Below are 27,467 nucleotides of genomic sequence, written 5' to 3' on the forward strand. Positions count from 1 at the left end.
TTTTTTTTTTATTTTTATTTTTTTGAGACAGTGTCTTGCTCTATCACCCAGGCCGGAGTGCAGTAGCACGATCATGGCTCACTTCAGCCTCGATCTCCCAGACTCAAGTGATCCTCCAGCCTCAGCCTCCCTAATAGCTGGGACTAAAGGTGTTTGCTGCTACAGCCAGCTAATTTTTCATATATATATATATACATATATATATTTAGACTGACTCTTGCACTGTCACCCAGGCTGGAGTGCAGTGAGGTGATCTCAGCTCACTGCAACCTCAGCCTCCCAGGTTCAAGAGATTCTCCTGCCTCAGACTCCCGAGTAGCTGGGATTACAGGTGCACACCATCACGCCTGGATAATTTTTCTTTTTTTTTTTTTTTTTGAGACGGAGTCTTGCACTATCACCCAGTCTGGAGTGCAGTGGCACGATCTCGGTTCACTGCAAGCTCCACCTCCCAGGTTCGCGCCATTCTCCTGCCTCAGCCTCCCAAGTAGCTGGGACTACAGGCATCCACCACCATGCCTGGCTAATTTTGTTTTCGTATTTTTAGTAGAGATGGGGTTTCACCGTGTTAGCCAGGATGGTCTTGCCTGACCTCGTGATCCGCCTGCCTTGGCCCCCCAAAGTGCTGGGCTGGGTGTGAGTCACCGTGCCCGGCCAGTTTTTCTTTTTCTCTTTTTTTTTTTTTTGTAGAGATGGGGGTCTCACAGTGTTGCCCAGGCTTGTCTCAAACTCCTGGTCTCAAGTGATCCTCCAGCCATGGCCTCCTAAAGTCCTGGGATTACAGGAATGAGCCACCATGCTCAGCCCCCTTGGTACTGTTGACATTCAGGATAAACAATTCCTGATTGTGGGGGCCGTCCTGGACACTGCAGGGTGCTGAACAGCGTCCCTGGCCTCCACCCTCTCCACGCCAATAAGACTCTTCTCCCCCGATCCCCTGCAGTTGTGACAGCCAATACAACCAGACATTAGCAGAGGGGAGAATTCTCCCCAAGTAGGACCCCTGGTCTTGGCACTGTGAGACCCCAGTAGGCTGGGGCAGACTCAGGGTGGAAAAGGCAGGTTATGCCGGGTTTGGGTCCTGGGAGACCTTCCCGGTTTCCTTTGTCCATTCCAGGCATTCAGTGATAGTTCTAGGGAGGGGAGACACAGATACCTAAACCGCTAGAGCTTGGGGAGGTTGCAGACAACCTGTTGCCCACTCCTCGACTCCTCTGAGAGTCACCTGTGCAAGAGAGAGGGCTTCCTCCTGGTAGAGACTAATAAAGCTTTTAATATTTAAAAGTTCGGGCACTTAATTCTGGTGATCTGGGTTCACGGGTAACACTCCGTCCTCTGACAGCTGGCAGATGGCAGAGTCCACTGAGGCGCTGGTGATGATGATGGGAACTTTGGCCTTGAGGCTGGTCAGGGACCAGGGCAGGTGCACGGTGGTGACCAGCTCGTAGCGAGTGTGCATGATCTCACCGTCCTGCGTGCTGCTGCTCACGGACAGCAGCAACGGCAGGTTGAAGGTGCTGACAACCTTGGTGGTGTTGAAGCGGGTCACGGGGGTGTTGGCCTCCTGCCTCAGAAGCTCGCTGCTGTCCAGCCGAGACCGCCGCTCTGCACTGGGCGTGAAGCCCTCGTACTGTATGTGGGCATACAGGGCGAATACGACCGTCTTGATGCATTTGCTGGTCTGGTTGTTGATCTCTGTTGTGAAGACGACCTTCTCTCCTGGCGTGAAGGTGTTCCTTTCCATCTGGATTTGCAAACAGACAGTGCCCTGGCGGCAGCAGTTGTAGGAGACTTTCTCCTCAGCCTCCACGAACAAGGGGTTCTAGGAGGATGTGGGGGAACAGACAACCGTGAGGGACCAGGACCACAAAATCCACTTGCCTGCCTGATCCACCCTGGGAACTCCTCAAAGTCTGTGGGGCTGGCTGGGCACGATAGCTCACGCCTATAATCCCAACACCTTGGGAGGCCGAGGCGGGAGGATCACCATGTCAGGAGTTCGAGACCAGCCTGGCCAACATGGCGAAACTCCATCTATACTAAAAATACAAAAATTAGCTGAGCGTGATGGAGCATCCCTGTAATCCCAGCTACTCAGGAGGCTGAGGCAGGAGAATCTCTTGAACCCGGGAGGTGGAGGTTGCAGTGAGCCGAGATTGTGTGATTGCACTTCAGCCAGGGCTACAGAGCAAAACTCCGTCTCAAAAAAAAAAAAAAGTCTCTGGGGCTTTGGGGGCTCTCCTAGGAAGAGGCATTAAGATGGAATCTGGAAGCCTAGGGATTTTGCAGTCAAAAACCTGGAGTCATCTCCCATCTCCCAGCATGTTTTGTTTTTTGTTTTTTGTATTTTTTTGGAGACAGAGTCTTGCTCTGTTGCCCAGGCTGGAGTGGAGTGGCGTGATCTCGGCTCAGTGCAACCTCCGCCTCCCGGGTTCAAGCGATTCTTCTGCCTCAGCCTCCTGAGTAGCTGGGATTACAGGCGCACGCCACCACACCCAGCTAATTTTTTGTGTATTTTTAGTAGAGACAGGGTTTCACTATGTTGGCCAGACTTGTCTTGAACTCCTGACCTTGTGATCCGCCTGCCTCGGCCTACCAAAGTGCTGGGATTACAGGCATGAGCCACTGCATCCAGCATTTTTTTTTTTTTTAATGCAGCCTGGAGTGCAGTGGTGCACTCATGGCTCACTGCAGACTTGACCTCCTGGACTCAAGTGATCCTCCTCCATCAGCCTCCCAAGTAGCAGGGACCACAGGCATGTGTGCCACCACACCCCAGCTTTTTTTTTTTGAAAGAAGGTCTCACTATGTTGTCCAGGCTAGTCTCAAACTCCTGGGCTCAAGCAGTCCTCCCACCTCAGCCTCCCAAAGTGCTGGGATTACAGGCATGAGCCACTGTGCCCAGCCTGCTTTTATTTTTAAAAAGTTGTTTGCAACATAGCAAATTGTTATTTCTGATATTTTTATTCTACTTGTTGCCTGTTCTGTTCTTTTATCTTAATATAAAAAAGTGGTTGCAACCTGCTAAATTGATTTTTTGTGATATTGCCTATTTAGATTCTTGCCTATTCTTTCATTTTATAAAAATATGGCCAGGCGCTCCCAGCATTTCAGGAGGCTGAGCGGGTGGATCATGAGGTCAAGAGATCAAGACCATCCTGGCCAACTTGGTGAAACCCCGTCTCTACTAAAAATACAAAAATTAGCCGGGCGTGGTGGCAGGCGTCGGCAATCCCAGCTACTCAGGAGGCTGAGGCGGGAGAATTGCTGGAATCTGGGAGGTGGAGGTTGAAGTTAGCTGAGATCGCGCCACTGCACTCCAGTCTGGCGAAAGAGCAAGACTCCGTCTCAAAAATAAATATATATATTATAATAATATAATATATATTATATTATTAGAATATATATAATATATTATTATATATAATATATTATAATAATATAACATATTATATATATATTATATATATATAGCCAGGCGCAGTGGCTCACACCTGTAATCCCAGCACTTTGGGGGGCCGAGGCAGGAGGATCACCTGAGGTCAGGAATTTGAGACCAGCCTGGCCAGCGTGGTGAAACCCCATCTCTACTAAAAATACAAAAGTTGGCCGGGTGTGATGGCACGCAACTGTAATCCCAGCTACTCAGGAGGCTGAGGCAGGAGAATCACTTGAACCTGGGAGACTGAGGTTGCAGTGAGGCTGAGATCCAGCCCTGCACTCCAGCCTGAGCAACAGAGTGAGACTCTGTCTCAAAAAAAAAAAGAAAAGAAAAGAAAAGAAAATGCTTGTATTCCACCAAATGGATTTTTGCAACCCACGACTGGGTTGTGACCTGTGATTTGAAAAACATTGCTGGCTGGGCATGGTGGCTCATGCCTGTAATCCCAGCACTTTGGGGAGGCCAAGGGGGGAGGATCACTGGAGCCCAGAAGTTCAAGACCAGCCTGGGCAACATAGTGAGACCCTGTCTCCAAAAAAAAAAAAAAAAAAAAAAACCAAAAAGGAAGGCCGGGTGCGGTGGCTCACCCCTGTAATCCCAGCACTTTGGGAGGCCGAGGTGGGTGGATCACGAGGTCAGGAGATTGAGACCATCCAGGCTAACAGGGTGAAACCCCATCTCTACTAAAAATACAAAAAAAAAAAAATAGCCAGGCGTGGTGGTGGGCACCTGTAGTCCCAGCTACTTGGGAGGCTGAGGCAGGAGAATGGCGTGAACCCAGGAGGCAGAGGTTACAGTGAGCCGAGATAGCGCCACTACACTCCAGCCTGGGCGACAGAGCAAGACTCTGCCTAAAAAAAAAAAAAAAAGAGGAGAAGAAGAAGAAAGAAGAAGAAGAAGACAGCCGGTGCGGTGGCTCACGCCTGTAATCCCAGCACTTTGGGAGGCTGATGCGGGTGGATCACGAGGTCAGGAGATTGAGACCATCCTGGCTAACACGGTGAAACCCCGTCTCTAATAAAAAATACAAAAAATTGGCCGGGCGCGGTGGCTCACGCCTGTAATCCCAGCACTTTGGGAGGCCGAGGCGGGCGGATCACAAGGTCAGGAGATCGAGACCATCCCGGCTAAAACGGTGAAACCCCGTCTCTACTAAAAATACAAAAAATTAGCCGGGCGTAGTGGCAGGCGCCTGTAGTCCCAGCTACTTGGGAGGCTGAGGCAGGAGAATGGCGTGAACCCGGGAGGTGGAGCTTGCAGTGAGCCGAGATCCCGCCACTGCACTCCAGCCTGGGCGACAGAGCGAGACTCCGTCTCAAAAAAAAAAAAAAAAAAAAAAAATTAGCCGGGCATGGTGGTGGGTGCCTGTAGTCCCAGCTACTCGGGAGGCTGAGGCAGGAGAATGGCATGAACCTGGGAGGCAGAGCTTGCAGTGAGCCGAGATCGCGCCACTGCCCTCCAGCCTGGGCGACAGAATGAGACTGTCTCAAAAAAAAAAAAAAGAAGAAGAAGGAGAAGGAGAAGGAGAAGAAGAAGAAGAGGAAGAGGAAGAGGAAGAGGAAGAAGAAGAAGAAGAAGAAAATCATACTGCAGGAAGTCAGGTATGTTTCCTTTTTGAGAACTCAGGCAGACCCTTGACCCCCTCTGACCTCACCTCCCACTTTTCTGCCTCTGGCTTCTCTTCAGCCTTTTCAGGAGCAGCTGGAGCTCCCCCTCCTCTCCTGAAGGTTAATTGAATCTGGTTACATTGTAAATCCCTGCAGTCTTATTCGAAAATTCGTAGCATGCGTTAGGACCCTGCAGGTGTGAAAGAACCTGCTGCCCTAACTCCAGACAAAGCTGGTATTTCTGTCCTGGTCCTGAAGGAGGTATCAGGAGGTGCCAAGAGCTACCAATGTCCCTTATTTCCAAATGAGCTATTACATTTTTTTTTTAATAGCGGTACCGGCTAGGAGCGGTGGCTAACGCCTGTAATCCCAGCACTTTGGGAGGCCTAGGCAGGCGGATCACCTGAAGTCAGGAGTTTAAGACCAGCCTGGCCAACATGTGGAAACTCCGTCTTTACTAAAAAATACAAAAATTAGCTGGGCGTGGTGGTGGGTACTTCTCATCCCAGCTACTCGGGAGGATGAGGCAGGAGAGTCACTTGAAGCTGGGAGGCAGAGGTTGTATTGAGCCAAGATTGCGCCACTGCACTCCCGCCTGGGTGACAAAGTGAGACTCCGTCTCAAAAAAAAAAAAAAAAAAAAAAAAAGAAAGAAAGAAAAAGGAAAAAAAATGCCAGCCCTCTGACATTTGTCGTCCTGTCCCAATGCTCTGATGACAAATGACTCCCTGGAGATGTGAAGTGACTTTGGCCAACGTCCCTCCTCCCACCTCGACTTCCGCCTCTGCACCTGGACTCGGGAAGGGATCCAGAACGAGTCCTTCACTCAGCCAAGCGGAGGCTGCACTGCCCGTCCTTCTCCTGGACTGAGGCCACCACCTCTATTGTCTGGGAGCTCCAAGGTCAGTGCTGGAGGGCCACTGAGTGTACATGCCTCTCTCCCACCCTGAGGGTCACCCTGTGGGGCCTTTTCTTGGCTTTTCCCCAGGGTCGTGTCTCCCTCTTGACAAGTGGACATTTGGGCCATTCTCCTGGGTGGGGCCGTCCTGGGCACTGCAGGGTGCTGAGCAGCGCCCCTGGCCTCCACCCACTCCATGCCAGGAGCACCCCCCAAGTTGAGACAACCACAGATGTCTCCAGACATTGCCAAATGTCCCTTATGGGGATAAAACAGCCACAGTTGAAAACCACTGGCTTAGTTCCTGCCCTTGTTTCTTTTCTAAAAAAAATGTTGGCCTGGCATGGTGGCTCACGCCTGTAATCCCAGCACTTTGGGAGGCCAAGGCAGGCGGATCACCTGAGGTCGGGAGTTTGAGACCAGCCTTGCCAACATGGCGAAACCCTGTCTCTACTAAAAATACAAAAATTAGCTGGGCATGGTGGTGCACATCTGTAATCCCAGTTACTCAGGAGGCTGAGGCAGGAGAATCGCTTGAACCTGGGAGGCGGAGGTTACAGTGAGCCGAGATCATGCCTCTGCACTTCAGCCTGGTGACAGAGCGAGACTGCATCTCAAAAAAAAAAAAAAAAATATATATATATATATATATTTTTTTTTTTTTACACACACACACACACACACACACACACACACACACACACACACATATATATAATTTTATTTTAGAGACAGGGTCTCACTCTGTCGCCCAGGCTGGAGTGCAGTGGTGCAAACATGGCTTACTGCAGCCTTGACCTCCAGCTGCCCTAAGGTTTCTGACTCACCTTTTGTGAAATCTCGGGGCCTGGGAAGCTGCCAACACCCTTCCCTTCTCCCCATGGGACCTTCTCTGTCCCCTGCCTGCCCACCTTCCCTCTTCCTCCTTGGAGCTTGGAGATTGTTCCCACCTCCACCTTTCCCCCATCGGTACCTGGAATGGGGTTTCTTTGTGGAAGGTGGAAGTTCCTTGAACCAATAAGTACATCCTCTTCTTGGCTAAAATGTGTTCCCTGCCCATGCAGGAAGCTTGTACGAAATAGAAGACATGGCCAAATTTGCTGGTGAAGGTAGAAGGAAGCCTGGGAGGTAAGTTGAAATGGAAGTCAAAGGTGTGGCTGCCTGCACTTAACCAATTATCTGAAAGCAAAACACACCGATGCCATCAGAAGGTTCTAGAATCTTTTTTCCTTCTTCTTCTTTTTTTTTTTGCTTTATTTTTATATTTATTTATTTTTGAGACACGGTCTCACTCTGTCACCCAGTCTGGAGTATAGTGGTGTGATCTCAGCTCACAGCAACCTCTGCCTCCTAGGTTCAAGCGATTCTCCTGCCTCAGCCTCCTGAGTAGCTGCGACTACAGGCGTGCACCACCACACCTGGCTAATTTTTATATTTTTGACAGAGATGGGGTTCTGTCATGTTGTCCATCCTGGTCTTGAACTCCTGGCCTCCGGCGATCCGCCCGTCTTGCCCTCCCAAAGTGCTGGGGTTACAGGCGTGAGCCACTGCACCTGGCCTTTTTTTGCTTGATTTATTGTTTTGGCATGGAGGTGGGTCCTGGGCTTGGCTTGTCTGTCCCTCCTGAGTTAAACTGAGCTCTATGCTTTTAGGACCTGCTGGGCCTATAAATATCAGGTCGCAGCTGGGCTGGAGTGGGATGCCCTGGGGTGGGTGACATGCCTGGAGTTGTCACCCGAAACCACTGAAGGGCTCTTGCATATCCCTGCCCTGAGCCTGAGAAAGTGGAAGTCAGGCCTTCAGGGTTCAACAAATATATCTTTTTTTTTCTTTTTGTAGGGACAAAGTCTGGCTCTGTTGCTTAGGCTGCAGTGCAGTGGTGTGATCATGGTCACTGCAGCCTCCAACTCCTGAGATCAAGTGATTCTCCCACCTCAGCCTCCAGAAGAGCTGGGACTACAGGCCCATGCCACCATGCCTGGCTAATTTTTAAATTTCTGGTAGAGACAGGGTCTTGCTATGTTTCCCAGGCTGGTCTTGAACTTCTGGCCACAAGCAGTCCTCCTGCCTCACTCTCCCAAAAGTGCTGGGATAATAGGCACAAACTGGCTGGGCCCAGTGGCTCACGCCTGCAATCCCAGCACTTTGGGAGGCCAAGGCGGGCGGATCACCTGAGGTCAGGAGTTTGAGACCAAGCTGGCCAAAATGGCGAAACCCAATCTCTACTAAAAATACAAAAATTAGCCGGGTGTGGTGGCACACACCTGTAGTTCCAGGTACTCAGGAGGCTGAGGTGGGAGGATAGCTTGAACGTGCGAGACGGAGGTTGCAGTGAGCCGAGATCATGCCACTGTACTCCAGCCTGGGTGACAGAGCGAGACGCCATCTCTAAAAATAAATAAATAAATAAACAAAGTAGTATGTGAGGCAGAGAAAACTTTCGCCCTCATAGAGCTTGACCTTCAGTGCATGGTATACAGTGGGTGCTTAATACATATTGATTGACCAACTGAGTGATGGTCTAGGAAGCAGACTCTCACACAACTGCCATTTCCATGACCTTTGTTTCATTTTCCTTCTTGCACTTCTCGAAAATCCTCTTAGCATTTTCTATCTTCTCTGGCCCATGGCAATCCCAAAGATACTAGGGACCCTGTCTCTTTCTTTCTTTTTTGTTTTTTTGAGACAGAATCTCACTCTGTCACCCAGGCTGGAGTGCAGTGGCGTGATCCTGGCTCACTGCAACCTCCGCCTCCTAGGTTCAAGCAATTCTCCTGCCTCAGCCTCCTGAGTAGCTGGAATTACAGGTGTGTACCACCATGCCTGGCTAATTTTTGTATTTTTAGTAGAGATGGGGTTTCACCATGTTGGCCAGGCTGGTCTCGAACTCCTGACCTCAGATAATCCACCTGCCTTGGCCTCCCAAAGGGCTGGGATTACAGGCATAAGCCATCAGGCGGGCTTGGCCTTTTTTTTTTTTTTTGAGACAGGGTCTCACTTTGTCACTCAGCCTGGACCTCTTGGGCTCAAGTGATCCTCTTGCCTCAGCGCCCCAAGTAGCTGGGACTACAGGCGCGTGTCACCACACCTGGCTAATTTTTGTATTTTTCATAGAGATGGGGTTTTGCCATGTTGGTCAGGCTGGTCTTGAACTTGTGACCTCAGGAGATCTGCCCACCCAGCCTCCCAAAGTGCTGGGACTACAGGCGTGAGCCACCGTGCCCGGCCCAGGCTGTGTTTTTTTCATCACTGCTGCATCCCCAGCACCTAGCACGGTGTTTGTGCACAGTAGGCACTCAATAAATGTTTATTAAATAAATGAAAAACCTGGAACAGGCATGGTGGCTCACACTTGTCATCCCAGCACTTTGGGAGGCCGAGGCGGGCAGATCACGAGGTCAGGAGATCGAGACCATCCTGGCAAACACGGTGAAACCCCGTCTGTAATAAACAAAATACAAAAAATTAGCTGGGCGTGGTGGCGGGTGCCTGTAGTCCCAGCTACTCGGGAGGCCAAGGCAGGAGAATGGCGTGAACCCGGGAGGCGGAGCTTGCAGTGAGCCGAGATCGCGCCACTGCACTCCAGCCTGGGCGACAGAGTGAGACTCCATCTCAAAAAAAAAATGTTTATTAAATAAATGAAAAACCTGGGATGGGCATGGTGGCTCATGCCTGTAATCCCAGCACTTTGGGAGGCTGAGGTGGGGCAGATCACCTGAGGTCAAAAGTTTGAGACCAGCCTGGCCAACATGGTGAAACCCTGTGTCTACTAAAAATACAAAAAATTAGTAGGGCATAGTGGCATGCGCCTGTAATCCCAGCTATGCAGGAGGCTGGGGCAGGAGAATTGCTTGAACCCAGGAGGTGGAGGTTGCAGTGAGCTGAGATCACGCCATGGCACTCCAGCCTGGGTGCCAGAGTAAAGACTGTCTCTTAAAAAAAGAACTAGCGGCCGGGCGCGGTGGCTCACGCCTGTAATCCCAGCACTCTGGGAGGCCGAGGCGGGTGGATCATGAGGTCAGGAGATCGAGACCATCCTGGTTAACACGGTGAAACCCCGTCTCTACAAAAAAAAAAAAAAAAAAAAAAAAATTAGCCAGGCGTGGTGGCGGGCACCTGTAGTCCCAGCTACTCAGGAGGCTGAGGCAGGAGAATGGCGAGAACCCGGGAGGCGGAGCTTGCAGTGAGCCAAGATTGCACCACTGCACTCCACGCTGGGCGACAGAGGAGACTCCGTCTCCAAAAAAGTAAATAAATAAAAGAAAAGAAAACAACTAGCAACATTTTTTTTTTCTGAGACTGAATCTCACTCTGTTGCCCAGGCTGGAGTGCAGTGGTGCAATCTTGGCTCACTGCAACCTCCGTCTCCCTTGGCCTCCCAAAGTGCCGAGATTACAGGCATGAGCCACCGCGCCCGGCCAGCAGTCTTTTTTTTCTGTTTCTTTCTTTTTTTTTTTTTTTTTTTTTTGAGACGGAGTCTCGCTTTGTTGCCCAGGCTGGAGTGCAGTGGCGTGATCTCGGCTCACCGCAAGCTCCGCCTCCCGGGTTCACGCCATTCTTCTGCCTCAGCTTCTTGAGCAGCTGTATTTTTTGTATTTTTAGTAGAGACGGGGTTTCACCATGTTGGCCAGGCTGGTCTTGAACTCTTGTCCTCTGGTGATCTGCCCACCTTGGCCTCCCAAAGTGCTGGGATAACACGTGTGAGCCACTGTGCCTGGCCAGAAATAGCAATTTTTAAGCATTTACTGTATACCTGGCATTATTCTAAGCGCTTTATGTGCCATTAAATCATTAAGTCCTTAACACAATCTTATGAAATAGGACCTCTTCCTACTCCCATTTTATAGATTGGTTAACTGAGAGCCAGAGAGGTCACATAATTGCTCAGTATTAGTGTCTGGTAAGTTGACATTTGTCCCCAGGATATTTGCATGGCTGGAGTCCCTCCTATCACTCAGTTCTGTGCTTGGTTGTTCCCTCTTTGCAGAGTACTCCTCTGGTGGAACAGACCATCTCATCTAAATTTTTAAAGTCTAAAATGGCCAGGTGTGGTGGCTCATGCCTGTAATCCCAGCACTTTGGGAGGCCAAGGTGGGCGGATCACCTGAGGTCGGGAGTTCAAGACCAGCCTGACCAACATGGAGAAACTCCGTCTCTACTAAAAATACAAAATTAGCTGGGAGTGGTGGCACACGCCTGTAGTGCCAGCTACTCGGGAGGCTGAGGCGGGACAATCGGTTGAACCCAGGAGGTGGAGGTTGCAGTGAGCCAAGATTACGCCACTGCACTCCAGCCTGGGCAACGAGTGAGATTCAGTCTCAAAAAAAAAAAAAATTGCTAGTTCTTTTTTTAAGAGACAGTCGTTTGAACCCAGGAGGTTGCGGTGAGCCGAGATTGCGCCATTGCACTCCAGCCTGGGCAGCAAGAGCAAAACTCCGTCTCAAAAAAACGAAAACAAAAAATAAACAAAAATTAGCCAAGCATGGTGCCATGTGCCTGTGGTCTCAGCTACTCAGGAGGCTGAGGTGAGAGGATCGCTTATGCCAGAGAGGCTGGGGCTGCAGTGAGTTTTGATCACACCACTGGCCTCTAGCCTGGGCAACAGAGCGAGGCCCTGTCTCAAAAATAAATACATAAGCCAGGCCTGGTGGCTCATGCCTGTAATCCCAGTACTTTGGGAGGCCGAGGTGGGCGAATCACGAGGTCAGGAGTTCGAGACCAGCCTGGCCAACGTGGTGAAACCCTGCCTCTACTAAAAATACCAAAAATTGCTGGGCATGGTGGCGGGTGCCTGTAATCCCAGCCACTCAGGAGGCTGAGGCAGGAGAATCGTTTGAACCCGGGAGGCGGAGCTTGCAGCGAGCCGAGATGGTGCCACTTCACTCCAGCCTGGGAAGCAGGGCGAGACTGTGTCTCAAAAAATAGATAAATAAATAAATAAGATACAAATAAATAAATACAGAAATAAATTAAATTAAATTACACTTTGTTCAGCCAAGTGTTGGCCACGTGTTCTGCTTGACTGCTTAATACCTGGGAATATCCCCACAAACACATTTTGCAATGGACATATAATTTCCCCGACAACTCAGCAGACTCTCTGACATTTGTTCAGATTTCAGATCTGACCTGGTGGAACTGGGGACTAGTTATTCCTTCTCTGGAAGGTCTCCCTTGCTCTTCTACCTCCACTATCTTTCTTTTTTTGAGAGGGAATCTCGCTCCGTCACCCAGGCTGGCGTGCTGTGGTGCGATCTCAGCTTACTGGAACCTCCCCTTCACGAGTTCAAGTGATTCTCTTGCTTCAGCCTCCCAAGTAGCTGAGATTACAGGCACGTGCCAGCACGCCCAGCTAATTTTTTGGTATTTTTTGGTAGAGATGGGGTTTCGCTATATTGGCCAGGCTGGTCTCAAACTCCTGACCTCAAGTGATCCACCTGCCTCGGCCTCTCAAAGTGCTGGAATTACAGGTATGAACCACTGTGCCTGGCCCACCTCCACTGTCTCTCCCCATGAATGCAGGACTGCCTACTTTGTCTCCTGGGGTTTTGCTGTCAGAGTGAAACTTATCTGTAAAAGAATAAGACTTCTCAGAGGCCTCTCAAAGGCAGTTGTTGGATTGAGCATTTTCCAAGGAGACTACTTTGAACCTTCATTTTGAATATCGGGGTTCCGATCAGCTCCTTATGTCTTGTTATTTTTGCGTTTTGTGTATCTGATGGTCATTGTTCTTCATGGCCTCCCTCCTAGGGAGAAATCAGGCCACTCCCTATTTCTGATAGCCCTAGAGTTTTGTTGATTGACTCTCGGATGTGTTTATTTTCCAGACCCAGGTTCCTGTCATGGCTAGGGGTGGCTGTTGGCCTCGTCCTTACCCTCCACTGGGAATGTCTTTGTCTTATGCACGTAGTCTGCCTTGTTGTTGCAAATAACATTTCTGCTATAATCACAGGATGCCCCGGCTTCTTCACTCCATTCGACGTAACCCCTTCCCACGAGCTCCACCTTCACTATGGGGTCCACCAGGGTGCTGTTCAGGGTTAAGATCACCTGCCCTTTTATGCTGGAGCCAGCCAGGTAGATTCTATCCTCGGGCAGCACTAATTCGATCGACTTCACCACAGACATGGGGGGTTGGGGGGTAGAGAGACATTCCTCTCTGTCCCCCATGTCCCTGAAATTCCCGGTTCGTTGGCCCTAGTGAGGTAATCCATCTATGACATCACTCAGCTCAGAGTTCCGGGAAGTGGGGACCCCAGTGGCCAGGAGGGGAGGCAAAACTGTTGTTTAGGGTGGGTGGTTGATTGGGAAACCTGTAGTCCTCACTGGTTCTTTTTTTTTTTTTTTGAGATGGAGTCTTACCCTGTAGCCCAGGCTGGAGTGCAGGGGTGCCATCTTGGCTCACTGCAACCTCCGCCTCATGGGTTCAAGCAATTCTCCTGCCTCAGCCTCCTGAGTAGCTGGGACCACGGGTGCATGCCAGCATGCCCAGCTAATTTTTTGGTAGAGACAGAGTTTCACTGTGTTGGCCAGGATGGTCTCGATCTCCTGACCTCGTGATCCACCCACCTCAGCCTCCCAAAGTGCTGGGATTGCAGGCGTGAGCCACTGCACCTGGGCTTTTTCTTTTTTTGAGACAAAGTCTCATTCTGTCACCCAGGCTGGAGTGTAGTGGCGCGATCTCGGCTCACTGCCACATCTGCCTCCCGGGTTCAAGCAATTCTCCTGCTTCAGCCTCCTGAGTAGCTGGAATTACAGGCATGCACCATCACCATGCTTTGCTAATTTTTTTTTGGTATTTTTATTTATTTTATTTTTATTTTTTGTGATGGTCTCACTCTGTCAGCCAGACTGGAGTGCAATGGTGTGATCTCGGCTCACTGCAACCTCTGCCTCCTGGGTTCCAGCGATTCTCCCACCTCAGCCCCCCAAGTACCTGAGATTACAGGCAAGTGCCACTGCAACTAGCTAATTTTTGTATTTTTAGTAGAGACGGGGTTTCACCATGTTGGCCAGGCTGGTCTCGAACTTGTGGCCTCACATGATTCGCCTGCCTTGGCCTCCCAAAGTGCTGGGATTACAGTTGTGAGCCACTGTGCCCAGGTGCATACACACTCATTTTCATCTTAAAGACTCTACATTTATATTGGTCTATATTGGAAAAAACATAGAGATATGGCCAGGACCTGAAATCTGGTGCGCACTGAAGTTGATCAGGGCAGTGTGTGCTTAATCTGAACATCGACACCATCAGGAAGCAGCAACTCCCTGCATGATTGACATTTCTCTTTTTTTTTGAGGTGGAATCTCACTCTGTTGCCCAGGCTGGAGTGCAGTGGCGTGATCTCGGCTCACTGCAACCTCTGCCCCCTGGGTTCAAGCGATTCTCCTGCCTCAGCCTCCCAAGTAGCTGGGATTACGGGCATGGGGGTTACAGGCACCTGCCCCCGTGCCCGGCTAATTTTTGTTCTTTTTGTTTTTGTTTTTGTTTTTTTTTTGAGATTGGAGTCTCACTTTGTCACCCAGGCTGGAGTGCAGTGGTGCGATCTCGGCTCACTGCAAGCTCCGCCTCCCGTGTTCATGCCATTCTCCTGCCTCAGCTTCCCGAGTAGCTGGGACTACAGGCGTCCGCCACAAATGCCTGGCTAATTTTTTGTATTTTTAGTAGAGACGGGGTTTCATCATGTTAGCCAGGATGGTCTCAATCTCCTGACCTCGTGATCCGCCCACCTTGGCCTCCCAAAGTGCTGGGATTACAGGCGTGAGCCACCGCACCCAGCCAATTTTTGTTATTTTTAGTAGAGACAGGGTTTCACCATCTTGGCCAGGCTGATCTTGAACTCCTGACCTCATGATCCACCCGCCTCACTTGGCCTCCCAAAGTGCTGGGATTACAGGCATGAGCTACCACGCCTGGCTGACATTTCTCTTTATGCCTGCATCTCCCCCATTGGATGGGAAGTCCCTCCAGGGTGAGACCTTGTCTAAGTGAACTTTGTGCCCATCAATGTCTGCGTGACCCAGGCAGGATCTGGCTCAGCCAGGAGTGGGTGTGGGGGGTGGAATCAATAAAAGTTTGTTGAATGACTTAATGACCTCTGAGAATGTATCATTTTGCAAAAGGGAAACTGAAGCCCTTTGCACTCTAACAATTATTCCTGGCACCTGATTTGCACATGGTCTGGTGCCTGAGAGGGAGGGACATTGAATCATAGGAGGGGCTAGGAAGTACCCATTCTCTAGCCTGGCAGGCCTTATTTCTTGTCTTGGCTGTATCTTGCATTATTTTATGTGATAGCTTTTGTGGGCATTGGCCTCTTATTTCCCTAAGTCAAGCTCATCCAACCCCTGACCCACGGGCCACATTTGGCCCAGGATGGAATATGGCTCAACACAAATTCGTAAACTTTCTTTTTTTTTTTTTTTTTTTTTTTTTTGAGACAGAGTCTTGCTCAGTCGCCCAGGCTGGAGTGCAGTGGTGTGATCTCGGCTCACTGCAAGCTCTGCCTCCCAGGTTCACGCCATTCTCCTGCCTCAGCCTCCCGAGTAGCTGGGACTACAGGCATGTGCCACCATGCCCGGCTAATTTTTTTTTGTATTTTTAGTAGAGATGGGGTTTCACCATGTTAGCCAGGATGGTCTCCATCTCCTGACCTCGTGATCCACCTGCCTCAGCCTCCCAAAGTGCTGGGATTACAGGTGTGAGCCACCACACCCGGCCACAAATTTGTAGTTTCTTAAAACATTATGAGATTTTTTTGCAATTTTTTTTTTAGCTCATCAGGTATTGTTAGTGTTAGTGTATTTTATTATTTATTTATTTATTTATTTATTTTTGAGATGGAGTTTTGCTCTTGTTGCCCAGGCTGGAGTTCAGTGGTGCAATCTCGGCTCACTGTAACCTCCGCCTCCTGGGTTCAAGCAATTCTTCTGCCTCTGCCTCCCGAGTAGCTGGGATTATAGGCACGTGCCACCACATCTGGCTAATTTTTGTATTTTTAGTAGAGACGGGGTTTCACCGTGTTAGCCAGGCTAGTCTTGATCTCCTGACCTCAGTGATCCGCCTGCCTTGGCCTCCCAAAGTTCTGGGATTACAGGCGTGAGCCACTGTGCCCGGCCAGTGTTAGTGTATTTTATGTGTGGCCCAAGACAATTCTTCTTCCAATGTGGCCCAGGGAAGCCAAAAGATTGGACACCCCTGCTCTAAGTGACTTGTGAGCTTTTTTTCTGAGACGCCTGGAATAGTTTGTTACTCATGTTTTTAAATGATTAACTTGAGCAATTATTACTATTTTTTGAGACAGAGTCTCCTTCTGTCACCCAGGCTAGAGTGCAGTGGCGCAAGCATGGCTCACTGTTGCCTTGATCTTCTGGGCTCAAGAGGTCCTCCTGCATCAGTGTCCTGAGTAGCTGGGACTACAGGTGCACACCACCATGCCTGGCTAATTTATTTTTATTTTTTGTAGAGAAGGGTTCTCACTACGTTGCCCAAGCTGGTCTCAAACTCCCGGGCGCAAGAGATCAGCCTTCCTCGGCCTCTCAAAGTGCTGGGATTGCAGGTGTGAGCCACTGCACCCAGCTGGACAATTAACCTGAGCTAATTTGAAAAATTTTGATGTTCTCAAGATGACTAGGGAACTGGAGCCCTCAATCAACAGTCCTCAGTATCTTTTCTGCAGGGAGGGCTAGATACCTCCTCTGTGACACTTAACTTCCATTATCCAAGGTGCTTAGGCTGTGCCCCTCACCACGTGTACATGAAGAATGCATGCCCAGCCAATCACAGTGGCTCATGCCTGTAATCCCAGCACTTTGGGAAGTCCAGGCGGGCAGATCACCTAAGGTCAGGAGTTTGAGACCAGCCTGGCCAATGTGGTGAAACCCCATCTCTACTAAAAATAAAAAATTAGCCGGACATGGTGGTGCGGACCTCTAGTTCCTGCTACTGGGGAGGCTGAGGCAGAAGAATTGCTTGAACCCAGGAGGTGGAGGTTGCGGAGAGCCAAGATCATACCACTGCACTGCAGGCTGGGCACCAAAGCAAGACTCCATCTCAAAAAGAAAAAGAAAAAAAGAAAAAGAAAAATGTATTCCCTCTTTCAGCCACGTTGAGTTTTCGCAACAGCGCTACAAACAGATGATGTGTTCTGATAGAAATAGGCTAGGTTCCTGCAGCAGGTGCTGTCATTTTGGAAGAGCTCAAGCCGTCTCACACCCTCAGGTGGGCCTGCTCATACCTGTGGTGTGGGTTCTACCTGGCTGATGGCTGAGGGTCTAGAATTGTGTGCAGTAGCGTTGATCGTGTACTGAGGTTGCAAACAGTGAACAGCACCATCTGGACATCGTGGATTAGAATGCAGGAGCTTCCCAAGGCTGCTATGACAAAGGACCACAAACTCAGTGGCTGCAAAACACACATTTATTTATTTGTTGATAGAGCCTTGCTCTGTCACCCAGGTGGGAGTACACTGGCTCGATCTTGGCTCACTGCAACCTCCGTCTCCTGGGTTCAAGTGATTCTCCTGCCTCAATCTCCTGAGTAGCTGGGATTATAGGCACACACCACCCTGCCCAGCTAATTTTTTTTTTTGAGACACAGTCTCGCTCTGTTGTCCAGGCTGAAGTGCAGTGGCACGATCTCTGCTCACTGGAACCTCCGCTTCCCAGGTTCAAGCAATTCTCTGCCTCAGCTTCCCGAGTAGCTGGGATTACAGGCGCCGGCCACCACACCTGGCTAATTTTTGTATTTTTAGTAGAGATGGGGTTTCACCATGTTGACCAGGCTAGTCTGGCGACTCCTGACCTCCAGTTATCTGCCTGCCTCGGCCTCCCAAAGTACTGGGATTACACGTGTGAGCCACCACGCCCGGCCCACACATTTATCATCTTACAGTTTGGGAGGTCAGAAGTCTGAAATAAATTTTAGGGGCAGGGCGGGTTCTAGGAGTCTTTCTTGCTTTTTCTAGCCACCAGAGGCTGCCCATCTTCCTTGCCTCTTGGCCTGATCTTTTTTTTTTTTTTTTTTTTTTTTTGAGACTGAGTTTTGCTTTTGTTGCCCAGGCTGGAGTGCAATGGCGCGATCTTGGCTCACCACAACCTCTGCCTCCTGGGTTCAAGCGATTCTCCTGCCTCAGCCTCCCGAGTAGCTGGGATTACAGACATGTGCCACCACGCCAGGCTAATTTTGTGTTTTTAGTAGAAACGGGGTTTCTCCATGTTAGTCAGGCTGGTCTCGAACTCCTGACCTCAGGTGATCTGCCTGCCTCGGCCTCCCAAAGTGCTGGGATTACAGGTGTGAGCCAACGCGCCCGGCCCTTGGCCTGATCATTGTAAAGCCTGCTTCCACTTTCCCATCTCCTTTGACTTTGACCTTTTGTATCCCTTTTTCACTTATTAGGACCTTTTAAGGACATTGTGCCCACCTGGATCACCCAGGAGACGCTCCCCAACTCAAAATCATTAACTGAATCACACCTGCAAAGTTGCAAAGTCCTTTTAGCTGTGTAAGGCACTGTATTCACAGATCCTGGGGGCGAGGACGTGGGGGTCTAGAGACGCATATCTTCGGGGGCCATGATCTGTCTCCTATATTAGGGACATAGCAGAAGTCCCACTGACCAGATAGAGGAGACTTAATAGAGTGACGAAGAAACTGTAAAAAGCTAAGTGGGAACTCAACATTTTTCTGCTCACAGCTCTCAAGGGAAAGACCAAAGTCCTCCCCGGTGGCCTTCAAGGTATTATATATCACCCCTCTGACCTCAACTCCCCCTCCCCTTTGCTCAGTGGGCCCCAACCACACCAGCCCCTTCCTGCTCCCTGGACACCTCTAAGCCTTTTCCGGCCTCTGGGTTTGACTTTCCCTCCTAGACCCATCTGTCCTTGGAGTCTCATCTCCGATTCCAGCTCAAATGTCATCTTCTCTGAGAGGCCCACCGCAGTGGCCCCAGTGAGAGAGTATCCTCTCTCCCCGCCTCCCACCACATGGCTGCTGGTCACTCTCCTATAAGGAATCATCTGAAATTATCTGCTTTAGTTATTCATTTCTTGCCTGTCTCCCCCAGATAGGAATTTTCCCTCCCTGAGACCACCAACTGGGTCTGCCATGTACACCGCTGGGTTCTGCAGCTCTGAGCAACCTGTCCGGCTGCTTTGTAGGTGCCCAGCACAGGTCACTCCTGTGCCCGCCAGGACTGGTCAGAGTGGAACAGACAGGGCGGAGGGGGCAGGGCAGCCCTGCCCGCCTGGACAGCCTGGAGAAGGCGGGAAAACGAGGCGGGAAAAGACAGCAAACAAGCCCTGCGGGTGGGTAGAGTGGGGAGCCCTGGCAGGCCCTGACGCCAGGCAGTGGGGCTTGGGGCGATCGGGCGAGCCATCAGGGTGCAGGTGGTCTCCTAGGGGCCCCCCACATTCCCTCGCAGTATTTACACATTGATTCCGGCCTTCTTAGACCTACTGGTCAATGCGTGCGAGTGGGGGGCTGCGAACGGACTTGGACTTAAGAGTTCAGGGGGTCTGTACCCTGGGGGTCCCCAAGGCTCCTGGGGTGTCCACGTGCGGGGGGTGACCAGGCCCTGCCACGCAGCCCCTTTGCACGCTGGGCGCGCCCAGCAGAGCGCGCAGGGCTGGGCGGAGCCGTGGCCCACTAGGCGGAGGCGCCGTGGACAGAGGCGGGGGCGCCCCCCACCCTCTTTCTCGCTTCCCGCCACTGCGTCGGCCAATCAGGAGGCAGGCGCCCGCCCCCGGCACGGCCTCCTGCGGCCCCGCAACTCCCAAATGCCGAGTTTTCGCGGGAAAAAAATCAGAGCAGCTGGCAGCGCGGCGGGCAGCGTTTGCCGAGCGGGCGCTCCGGGTCGCACGCAAGTCCGCGCGGGGTCCGGGCCACGCACGCGGTTTCATCGCCATCCCCAGCCGGGCCACGCGCGCAGGCAGACAAGCTGTTCGCGGCGACCGGAGAGGTGAGCGGGCGGGCCGGGTCGGGGTGCCAGCCCGGGCCGGGCGCACGGGGCTCGGGAACTTTGCAAAACTTTCCCGCGCGGCCAGCCCGGGCGCACGCATGTCCCGCACTCTGTCCCGGGATCCAGGGCCTCCCCTTCCACCTAACCCTCGGGAATCGTTCCCCGGCACACATCCGGCTGGAGCCGGGACCAGCGCTGCGTCCCCGGAGCCCGGCGGGGGGTCGAGCGCGCCGGGTGGGGGAGGGCCTGGCGAGCCGCCGGGGAGGATGTCAGGCTCCGCGCCTGCGCGCGGGGCGCCCCGCGATTCAATTGTCGCGCCCGAGCCCGATTTCGCGCGCCCTGAGTTCCCCGGGAGCATCTGGGCCAATGGGGAGCGAGCGGGGCGGGGCGGCCGGGTGCTGCGGAGCCAATAAGAGGCGGCTCAAGTGAAGGGGGGCGGGACTTGACGAGCGGGGGCCCCCTCTGTAGTCCCGGCGGCGGGGGTGGGCGTGGGCTCGCTGGCGCGACCCGCGCGGGCCAGTGGGAGTGCGGGAGGGACGCCGAGGGTCCAGGGTTTGGAGGGGCGCGAGCTGCCGGGGGTTGGAGGTCGAGGTGAGTCGCGGGGCGCGCGCGCTCGCGGGTGGCCGGGACGGGGCGGCCGGTTACCATGGCCACCGCGGGGCGGGCCCGGTCGCGCACGCGCGCGGGGGGGGCCGGCAAGGAGGGGGGGCGTGGGCACCGAGGGGTCCCGGGGTCCGCGGATCTCGGGTGGGGTTTTTCCCTCTCAGTGGCACTTGGTTGAGTTCCCCCGGGACTTCTGAAGTTCCGGCCCGCGCTGGACTTCTGGGATTCCCTCTTCCGTAAATAGGAATCCGAGGAATGAATGAATCAATGAATGAATGAATAAACGAACCAACTCGGCCACTTGGCCCGGGCCTCCTTTCTCCTCTGGTCGTGGGGAAGGAGGGATGGGTTGGACCTTCTGCTTTTCTTTCAATTCCCTCTTTTCATTCTCCTTCCTCCTCAATCTTCAACACTTGGCTAGTCGTTAATGCCTTAAGTGCTTAATTTGTTGTGTCTGGTCCTGGCCAGGGTCTGGCTGTACAGGAGGACTGGAAGGGCATCCTGGGAGTTTCCTGGTGTCCACAGGCCGGACAAAAGCAACCCCGACTCCTTAGAGCATGGCATGGCTCAGAGGTGCTGGTAAAACTGATGGGGGTTTTTGCTGTCCCTCCCCTCAGCGCCGACACCATGTGGATCCAGGTTCGGACCATGGACGGGAGGCAGACCCACACGGTGGACTCGCTGTCCAGGCTGACCAAGGTGGAGGAGCTGAGGCGGAAGATCCAGGAGCTGTTCCACGTGGAGCCAGGCCTGCAGAGGCTGTTCTACAGGGGCAAACAGGTACACCCGCCGCCAGCACCTTTGTTCTATGCCTGGTCCAGGCCTCGCGCCTCTGCAGCCACCAGCCGATACTTTCTCCCTCCCACCTCCCCCCCCAACAACCTCGTCCGGTCCCACTTCATCTCTCCCGGAAGGAGAAGTCCACAGAAACCTCAAATGCCTGCGAGAGGAAGGAACAAAGGGAGGACTCACAGATTGACACGCTGGGCTGGCGGCTGGCCCTCGAATCTATAGGGTCTGGGCTTTTAAACTTCTTTTTTCAAAGCTCCGCCTCAAAATAATGGCTAGAGAAAGAAGTTTTGGAGGTGGCCGATGGAAGGCTGAGGAATTTTCGAGAAAGGGCCCAGGACCATCTGGTAGCTAGGACGGAGGGGACCAGGTTTTCTTTTTTAAACATCCACCACCAATTGCTCTCAGCCTGTACCGGTTAAGCATCAGACCCTGCGAGTGTTTGTTTCTAAAAATTTGGATTAGCTTATTCAGAGTCTGGAGATGGCGCTTGCTAATCAGGAATTTCCGCCACCCTGAGCCTGCTGTGCTGCGGCTGCTGCTGACCTGGGGCGTGTGGTCCCCGAGGGGTCCACCGACCCTCGTCTCTTTCTCTGTTCTGTCTCCAGCCCCTCGTTGCATTTAAAATGTCCCCCTTTGATTTCATAGCTGCCACGTTTGGGGCGCTCCCTCCATTGGCACCTGGGGGTGGAGGTGCTACTTTGGTTGGTGTTTTTGTGGGGGACTGTGGGACCTACTGGGAGTGGGGTTTCCCGGCAGGATGAGACAGTGTGATCGAAGGTGTAGGTCCCATCTGCTGGAGTTGGTTGGACCGTGGGGACGGGCGTAGACTACTGGAACTGGATTAAAAGTCGTCAGTTGAGCTGCGTGTACCCCACTGTGTTGTTGTTGGATTTTGAACCGGGTACTGCTGCCATCTGGTGTCTAGGTTGGAAAATAAACACTGCGCCCGGCCAGGGGTTTTTGGGGGCTGGGAGGATCATGCCTGCTCACTCCAGATGAGACCTGATGATTAATTTCTCTGGCTTGCATGCCATAGGAGACCTTCATTAGCCCTCTTCCCGTAAGAGACGTGATGACTTGAGTCTTAAGAATCTGAGTTAACCCGCCCTGCCCCGGGAGGAGGCGATCTGGAGAACTTGGGGAGTTGACGGTGCAAGCCGCGTGTGTGCAGAGAAGAGGCAGGGCCGGGCTCGACAGAGGAGCTCCGCCTGGCGCTCTCTTCCTCCCTCCTCCTATGATGCGTGCTCCCTTTGTGGCATCCAAACTGATTTTGATTTGCCACTCAGCCTATTGGGTCAGCACAGAAGGCTTCATTTCACAAAGAGTTTCTGAAGCCTGCAAGGACCTTCTAAGTTCACAGCGTAGGTCAGTGGCGGGTTGGACTCTCATGCTCCCAAGTTCAGGAGAGGAGATAATGCTGAGTATCCACTCTATGCCAGCCACCGAGCTAGCATTTTAACTTTTGCATTTCAACCATGCAGGAATGGGAAAACACCTAGACACACCTGCCATGTAGATTTCACCATCGGTATTCTGACTTATTAGGTTTATCTTGAAGCGCTCTGTCTTTCTCTCTGCCCGCCAATCCATCTTTTTGGGATGCATTTCAAAGTAAGTTGCAGACACCAGTCCACCTTTCCCTTATTACTGCAGCACACCGTCAGTACCTAGAGCTCAGTATTTGTTTTTGGTTCTGTTTTCATTGATTTTTTTTGTTGTTGTTCCTATTTGAGACAGGATCTCACTCTGCCCAGGCTGTGTTGCAGTGGCACGATCACAGCTCACTATAGCCTCAGCTTCCTGGGCTCAAGCAATCCTCCAGCCTCAGCCTCCCAAGTAGCTAGGACTATAGGCATGCACCACCATGCCTGGCTAGTTTTTGTATCTTTTGTAGAGATGGGGTCTTATTATATTGCCCAGGGTGGTCTCCTGGGCTCAAGTGACCCTCCTGCCTTGGCCTCTCAAAGTTTTGGGGTTACAGGCGTGAGCTACAGTGCCGGACCTAAAAGCTTTGTCTATAGTGAAACAGATGTTAGACAGACTGAATAATTTTGACAAATGTCTACATCCATGCAACCCAAAACCCCTATCTCCCCTCATTTGTAACATAATACTTGAGTCATACAATAGTGTCTGTCACATTTCTAAGTTTAGTGTGACAATGACAGGAACACGTATGTTAATTAGACATGTACATTGTGCTTTTTTTTTTTTTTTTTTGAGATGGAGTTTCATTCTTGTTGCCCAGGCTGGAGTGCAGTGGCTCGATCTGGGCTCACTGCAACCTTCATCTCCCAAGTTCAAGCGATCCTCCTGCCTTAGCCTCCCAAGTAGCTGGGATTACAGTCACCCACCACCACGCCTGATTAATTTTTTGTATTTTTAGTAGAGACGGAGTTTCACCATGTTGGCCAGGCTGGTCTTGAACTCCTGACCTCAGGTGATCCACCTACCTCCGTCTCCCAAAGTGCTGGGATTACAGGTGTGAACCACTGCACCCAGCCACGTACATTGTGCTTTTAATTGTCAGGATGTCCGCAGTGATGACACCTGGCCCTAGCCTTGCCGGAACTCACCCGGACTGAACAGGGAGCTGGGATTGGAACCTGGGATTTTGGTTTCTGAGACTGGGCTCTCAACACTGAATTTCGTCTCCCAGGTCAGCTCTGGTAGTTATGAAAAGATTCAGTGTTCCTGTGTAACCTTCATAACCGCCTCTTAGTTCCCTTACCCTGTGGCTGTTTCCCATGCAGTAGCTTTTTTTTTTTTTTTTTTTTTTGGAGACAGTTTCGCTCTTATTGCCCAAGGTGGAGTGCAATTGCGTGATCTCGGCTTACCTCAACCTCCACCTCCTGGGTTCCAGCGATTCTTCTGCCTCAGCCTCCCGAGTAGCTGGGATTACAGGTGTGCGCCACCATGCGCAGCTAATTTTTTTTGTATTTTTAGTAGAGATGGGGTTTCTCCATGTTGGTCAGGCTGGTCTCGAACTCCCGACCTCAGGTGATTCACACCCCCCTCCCCCACCTTGGCCTCCCAAAGTGCTGGGATTAGAGGTGTGAACCGTCGCATCCGGCCCCCATGCAGTAGCTTTTAAGAGATCGTGTCGTTGCTTCTGTCTTCCGGGCCACAGAGAGGTGATGCAGTTTCCCCACTTGCATGGCTGGGAAAGTGAGCTGGCAGCAGGGAGGTTTGGACAGTGGCGGGAAGGCGGGACAGAGGCACACAGCAGCACCTCCCAGAGCGTGAAGTCTGCAGGCACCCAGGCTAACGTGATAGAAAGCAACACAGTTCCCGGTGGGCACAAATGGGCAGTTGTCCTTATAGAATGTTCTAGAGTGTTCACAGTCTTTTTTTTTCCCTGTTTAAAGAAACCTGGCCTAGCAGCCCAAGGTCTGCAGTGAAGTTGATGGAGACCCCAGAGCAGAACAGAGTTGGGTCTGTCTCGGAATATGGAGGATCTCGTGGTGGTCTCACTTGGGCTGAATAGGGTGACAGTGATGTCACTTGATGGGCGGGAACGCAGGGAGCTGATCGAGGGCAGTGACTTTGGGCAGACGGCCCAGCCTAGGCAACGGGAGAGGCATCTGCGGCCCCCACCCCTCAATCTTTTTTTTTTTTTTGGCTGCACATCAAAATAACAATAGCTGTCTTTTGCGGCACCTTTAACCTGCTCGGGTACAACGCTCTGCACTGTACATAATCTTTTCAGCATCCCTGGCCCGCGACTCGCCAGCTCCCACATCATCTTATTTTAGATAGGGCTAATACCCACCACGCTGCAGCGCAGTGCGAATTCAATGAGGTTGTGGATTTGAAGGGCGGAGTGAGCCCTGTGCCAGGCTCACAATGAAAGCGAAATCAATCTCTTAGCACAGGGCCTGTCCCGCTCTGCACTGTGGATGTTTGGGGCCAGGTCATCCTCTGGCTGGGACCGTCCTGGGCACTGCAGGGTGCGGAGCAGCGTCCCTGGCCTCCACCCACTCCATGCCAGAGCATCCTGCCCTACCAGTCATGACAACCACAAATATTCCCAGAGACTTCCATGCCTCAAAGGCAGGATTAAGGTCAGTCTGATGCCTCAGTTGAAATGGTGGCCCAGGAATGGCCTTGCAAGAGTCACTTGTCACAGTGATGCCTCAGGTGTCCCCACTGGACGGCCCCCTTGCAGAGACCTGCCCTTCTGTCTGCGGGAGGGAGGGTCCCCACCACCAGCTCCCACCCACTGCGGCATCCCTCCCCCAGGATGGCTCCCTGGTAGAGGGCGCGGCCTCTGTTAGGGTGACTCACCACTGCTGTTGTGGCCCCGAAGCAGCTGTAGACAATCTGTAAACCGGTGGGCGTGGCTTTGTTCCAATAAAACTTGATTTATAAAAACAGGTATGGCGGGGCCCAGTGGCTCATGATTGTAATCCCGGTGCTTTGGGAGGCCAAGGCAGGCGGATCACCTGAGGTCAGGAGTTCTAGAACAGCGTGCCAACATGGTGAAACCCCGTCTCTACTAAAAATACAAAAATTAGCCAGACGTGGTGGCGCATGTCTGTAGTTCCACTTAGGAGGCTGAGGCAGGAGAATCGCTTGAACCTGGGAGGTGGGAGGTTGCAGTGAGCTGAGATCCCACCACTGCACTCCAGCCTGGGCGACAGAGCAAGACTCCGTCTCAAAAAAAAAGCAAAACAAAAAACAAAACCAAAACAAAAGAGGTGCAGGCCAGAATTGTCCCCGTGGACATAGTTGGTCAATTAGATTGCATACTTTAATCCAGCCTCAGTTGGTGTGTCTGGGTTTTCTGGCTAGGAAGAATGCTGCTGTGGAATGTGCTGGAACAGATCCTTACGTGCGCTGTGTTGGAGTCTTTCCAGGTCAGGGGTTCTCAAACGGATTTCAGGACCCTTTACATCATCCAGAATGATCCAATAGCCCCAGGAGCCTGTGTCTGTGTGGATTATGTCTGCCGGCTGTTAGTGTGTTAGAAGTTGAGGCCAGGCATGGTAGCTCACACCTGTAATCCCAGCACTTTGGGAGGCTGAGGCGAGGATCGCTTGAGGTTGGGAGTTTGAGACCAGCCTGGGCCATGTAGCAAGACCCCGTCTCTACAAAAAATGAAAATTAGCCGGGCATGGTGGCGCATGCCTGTAGTCCTAGCTACTCGGGAGGCCAAGGTGGGAAGATCACTTGAGCCTGAAAGGTTGAGGCTGCAGTGAACCAAGATTGTACCACTGCATTCCAGCCTGGGAGACAGAGCGAGACTTTGTCTCAAAAAAAAAAAAAACCAAATAAATTGAAAGCTGAGAAATTCAGAGCACAAGAAGACAAGCGCGCCCCCTCTTTTAGCTGTCAACATGGCGGAGCCGTCCCTGGTGACGCAGCCTCCAAAGGCCTCCCTGTGCCCTCCTGAGACCGCAAGAGGGAAAGTGGCAGCGACAGTGATCGTGGTGTCTTTGTGGCGGTTGTGTTGACCTCACTGACCCCCGAAGTGCCGCTCTAGGGTCTGTCCTCAGCGGTGACCCGGCCGGGTCGAAGGGCAGAGTTCCGCTGTCACTAGCCCTCCACCCGTCCTGTGTGCTGGGATGCCCTCGCGGCGCCGTCCACGCCACCGCCGCCCCCTCTTGTGGGTTCTGTCTCCTCCGTGTCTAGGATCCTCCTGCATCCGTTTTTCCTTCCTCCCTTCTCTCCCTCCGTCTGTCTTGCCCGCACCTGAGGTTGTCGCAGAGGCGCTGAGACGGGCCAGCAGGAGCTGTGGCTGCCCCTCAGGAAGGCAGAGCAGTTTCTCACTTCCTTCCCCCCAGGTCCCGTCAGGCCCCTGCAGGCACTCTCTCTTCCGGCTGGAGGTCCCTCCTGATCGAGGCTTACACGGTCTTTGCTGAGCTCCTAAACTTCTGGTTTCTATCCCTAAAGTTGGAGAACCACTGCTCCCCAAACCCGGTGGCATTATCTGCCCTGCTGTGCCGCTAGGCAGTGTTCGGCACCCTGAAAGAGAGCCCCTGAATGTGGCACGAGGGGTAGGAAGTGGGCAGCTCGGTGGGGGGGGGGGGTGCAGTGAGCTTTTAGTCTTAAGTTTTCGTTTTTTTTTTTTTTTTTTTCTTTTTTATAGAGATGGGATCTCGCTTTTTTCACCAGGCTGGTCTTGAACCCCTGGCCTCAAGTGATCCTCCCATCTTGACTTCCCAA

At 52.1% G+C, this 27,467-nt stretch overlaps 2 protein-coding genes across 15 annotated transcripts in view, besides 7 other annotated features; one reads left to right on the forward strand and one right to left on the reverse strand.

The window, feature by feature from the left end:
• Nucleotides 1-685: 685 nt before the first annotated feature.
• Nucleotides 686-27,069, reverse strand: ARRDC5 (arrestin domain containing 5). 6 transcript variants are annotated; one of them, NM_001367189.2, is made up of 4 exons: nucleotides 12,822-13,145; nucleotides 8,211-8,334; nucleotides 6,920-7,067; nucleotides 686-1,822 (listed from the first exon to the last, which is right to left on the reverse strand). In NM_001367189.2, exons 1-4 carry the CDS (start codon nucleotides 13,072-13,074, stop codon nucleotides 1,295-1,297), a joined length of 1,053 nt encoding a protein of 350 aa, NP_001354118.1. In that variant the 5' UTR covers nucleotides 13,075-13,145; the 3' UTR covers nucleotides 686-1,294. The 6 variants fall into 6 exon arrangements, with proteins under 6 accessions (NP_001354118.1, XP_011526483.1, XP_047295176.1 ...); XM_011528181.3 differs by lacking the exons at nucleotides 8,211-8,334; nucleotides 12,822-13,145 and adding an exon at nucleotides 25,587-27,069; XM_047439220.1 differs by lacking the exons at nucleotides 8,211-8,334; nucleotides 12,822-13,145 and adding an exon at nucleotides 25,587-27,069 and having other exon boundaries at nucleotides 6,920-7,125.
• Nucleotides 1,054-1,555: an enhancer, noted in NCBI's record as "H3K4me1 hESC enhancer chr19:4890817-4891318 (GRCh37/hg19 assembly coordinates)". NCBI's record gives its function as "activates a minimal SCP1, AML or CMV promoter by ChIP-STARR-seq in naive H9 embryonic stem cells {active_cell/tissue: H9 hESC(naive)}" and the evidence as "EXISTENCE:reporter gene assay evidence [ECO:0000049][PMID:30033119]".
• Nucleotides 1,556-2,055: an enhancer, noted in NCBI's record as "H3K4me1 hESC enhancer chr19:4891319-4891818 (GRCh37/hg19 assembly coordinates)". NCBI's record gives its function as "activates a minimal SCP1, AML or CMV promoter by ChIP-STARR-seq in naive H9 embryonic stem cells {active_cell/tissue: H9 hESC(naive)}" and the evidence as "EXISTENCE:reporter gene assay evidence [ECO:0000049][PMID:30033119]".
• Nucleotides 13,329-27,467, forward strand: part of UHRF1 (ubiquitin like with PHD and ring finger domains 1) — a 59,075-nt gene continuing 44,936 nt past the window's right edge. For 2 of the 9 annotated variants that reach the window (NM_001048201.3, XM_011527942.2), the window contains exons 1-2: nucleotides 19,750-19,904; nucleotides 21,125-21,287. In NM_001048201.3, coding sequence (NP_001041666.1) covers nucleotides 21,135-21,287 — 153 coding nt within the window. In that variant the 5' untranslated portion in view covers nucleotides 19,750-19,904; nucleotides 21,125-21,134. Of the gene's footprint in view, nucleotides 13,895-19,749; nucleotides 19,905-20,392; nucleotides 20,496-20,615; nucleotides 21,288-27,467 lie in introns of those variants that run through there. The other 7 variants (NM_001290051.2, XM_047438707.1, NM_001290052.2 and 4 more) reach the window with 4 other exon arrangements.
• Nucleotides 18,783-19,689: an enhancer, noted in NCBI's record as "H3K27ac-H3K4me1 hESC enhancer chr19:4908546-4909452 (GRCh37/hg19 assembly coordinates)". NCBI's record gives its function as "activates a minimal SCP1, AML or CMV promoter by ChIP-STARR-seq in naive H9 embryonic stem cells {active_cell/tissue: H9 hESC(naive)}" and the evidence as "EXISTENCE:reporter gene assay evidence [ECO:0000049][PMID:30033119]".
• Nucleotides 19,509-19,588: a silencer, noted in NCBI's record as "silent region_9912". NCBI's record gives its function as "represses an Ori minimal core promoter by ATAC-STARR-seq in GM12878 lymphoblastoid cells {active_cell/tissue: GM12878}" and the evidence as "EXISTENCE:reporter gene assay evidence [ECO:0000049][PMID:35858748]".
• Nucleotides 20,089-20,608: a silencer, noted in NCBI's record as "silent region_9913". NCBI's record gives its function as "represses an Ori minimal core promoter by ATAC-STARR-seq in GM12878 lymphoblastoid cells {active_cell/tissue: GM12878}" and the evidence as "EXISTENCE:reporter gene assay evidence [ECO:0000049][PMID:35858748]".
• Nucleotides 25,508-25,557: an enhancer, noted in NCBI's record as "active region_13787". NCBI's record gives its function as "activates an Ori minimal core promoter by ATAC-STARR-seq in GM12878 lymphoblastoid cells {active_cell/tissue: GM12878}" and the evidence as "EXISTENCE:reporter gene assay evidence [ECO:0000049][PMID:35858748]".
• Nucleotides 26,809-26,868: an enhancer, noted in NCBI's record as "active region_13788". NCBI's record gives its function as "activates an Ori minimal core promoter by ATAC-STARR-seq in GM12878 lymphoblastoid cells {active_cell/tissue: GM12878}" and the evidence as "EXISTENCE:reporter gene assay evidence [ECO:0000049][PMID:35858748]".

This window comes from Homo sapiens, chromosome 19 (genome assembly GCF_000001405.40).
Source record: "Homo sapiens chromosome 19, GRCh38.p14 Primary Assembly".
Lineage (NCBI taxonomy): Eukaryota > Metazoa > Chordata > Mammalia > Primates > Hominidae > Homo > Homo sapiens.

Coding starts and splice junctions, on each gene's coding strand:
- ARRDC5 (NM_001367189.2), bottom strand. CDS start 13,074: ATGTCTGTGGTGAAGTCGATCGAATTAGTGCTGCCCGAGGATAGAATC. Junction 8,335..12,821: donor AAAGACATTCCCAGTGGAGG/GTAAGGACGAGG, acceptor ATTTATTTTTAG/AGATGGCGTCTCGCTCTGTC. Junction 7,068..8,210: donor CTGAGTACCTGGAACTACAG/GTGTGTGCCACC, acceptor CTTACCTCCCAG/GCTTCCTTCTACCTTCACCA.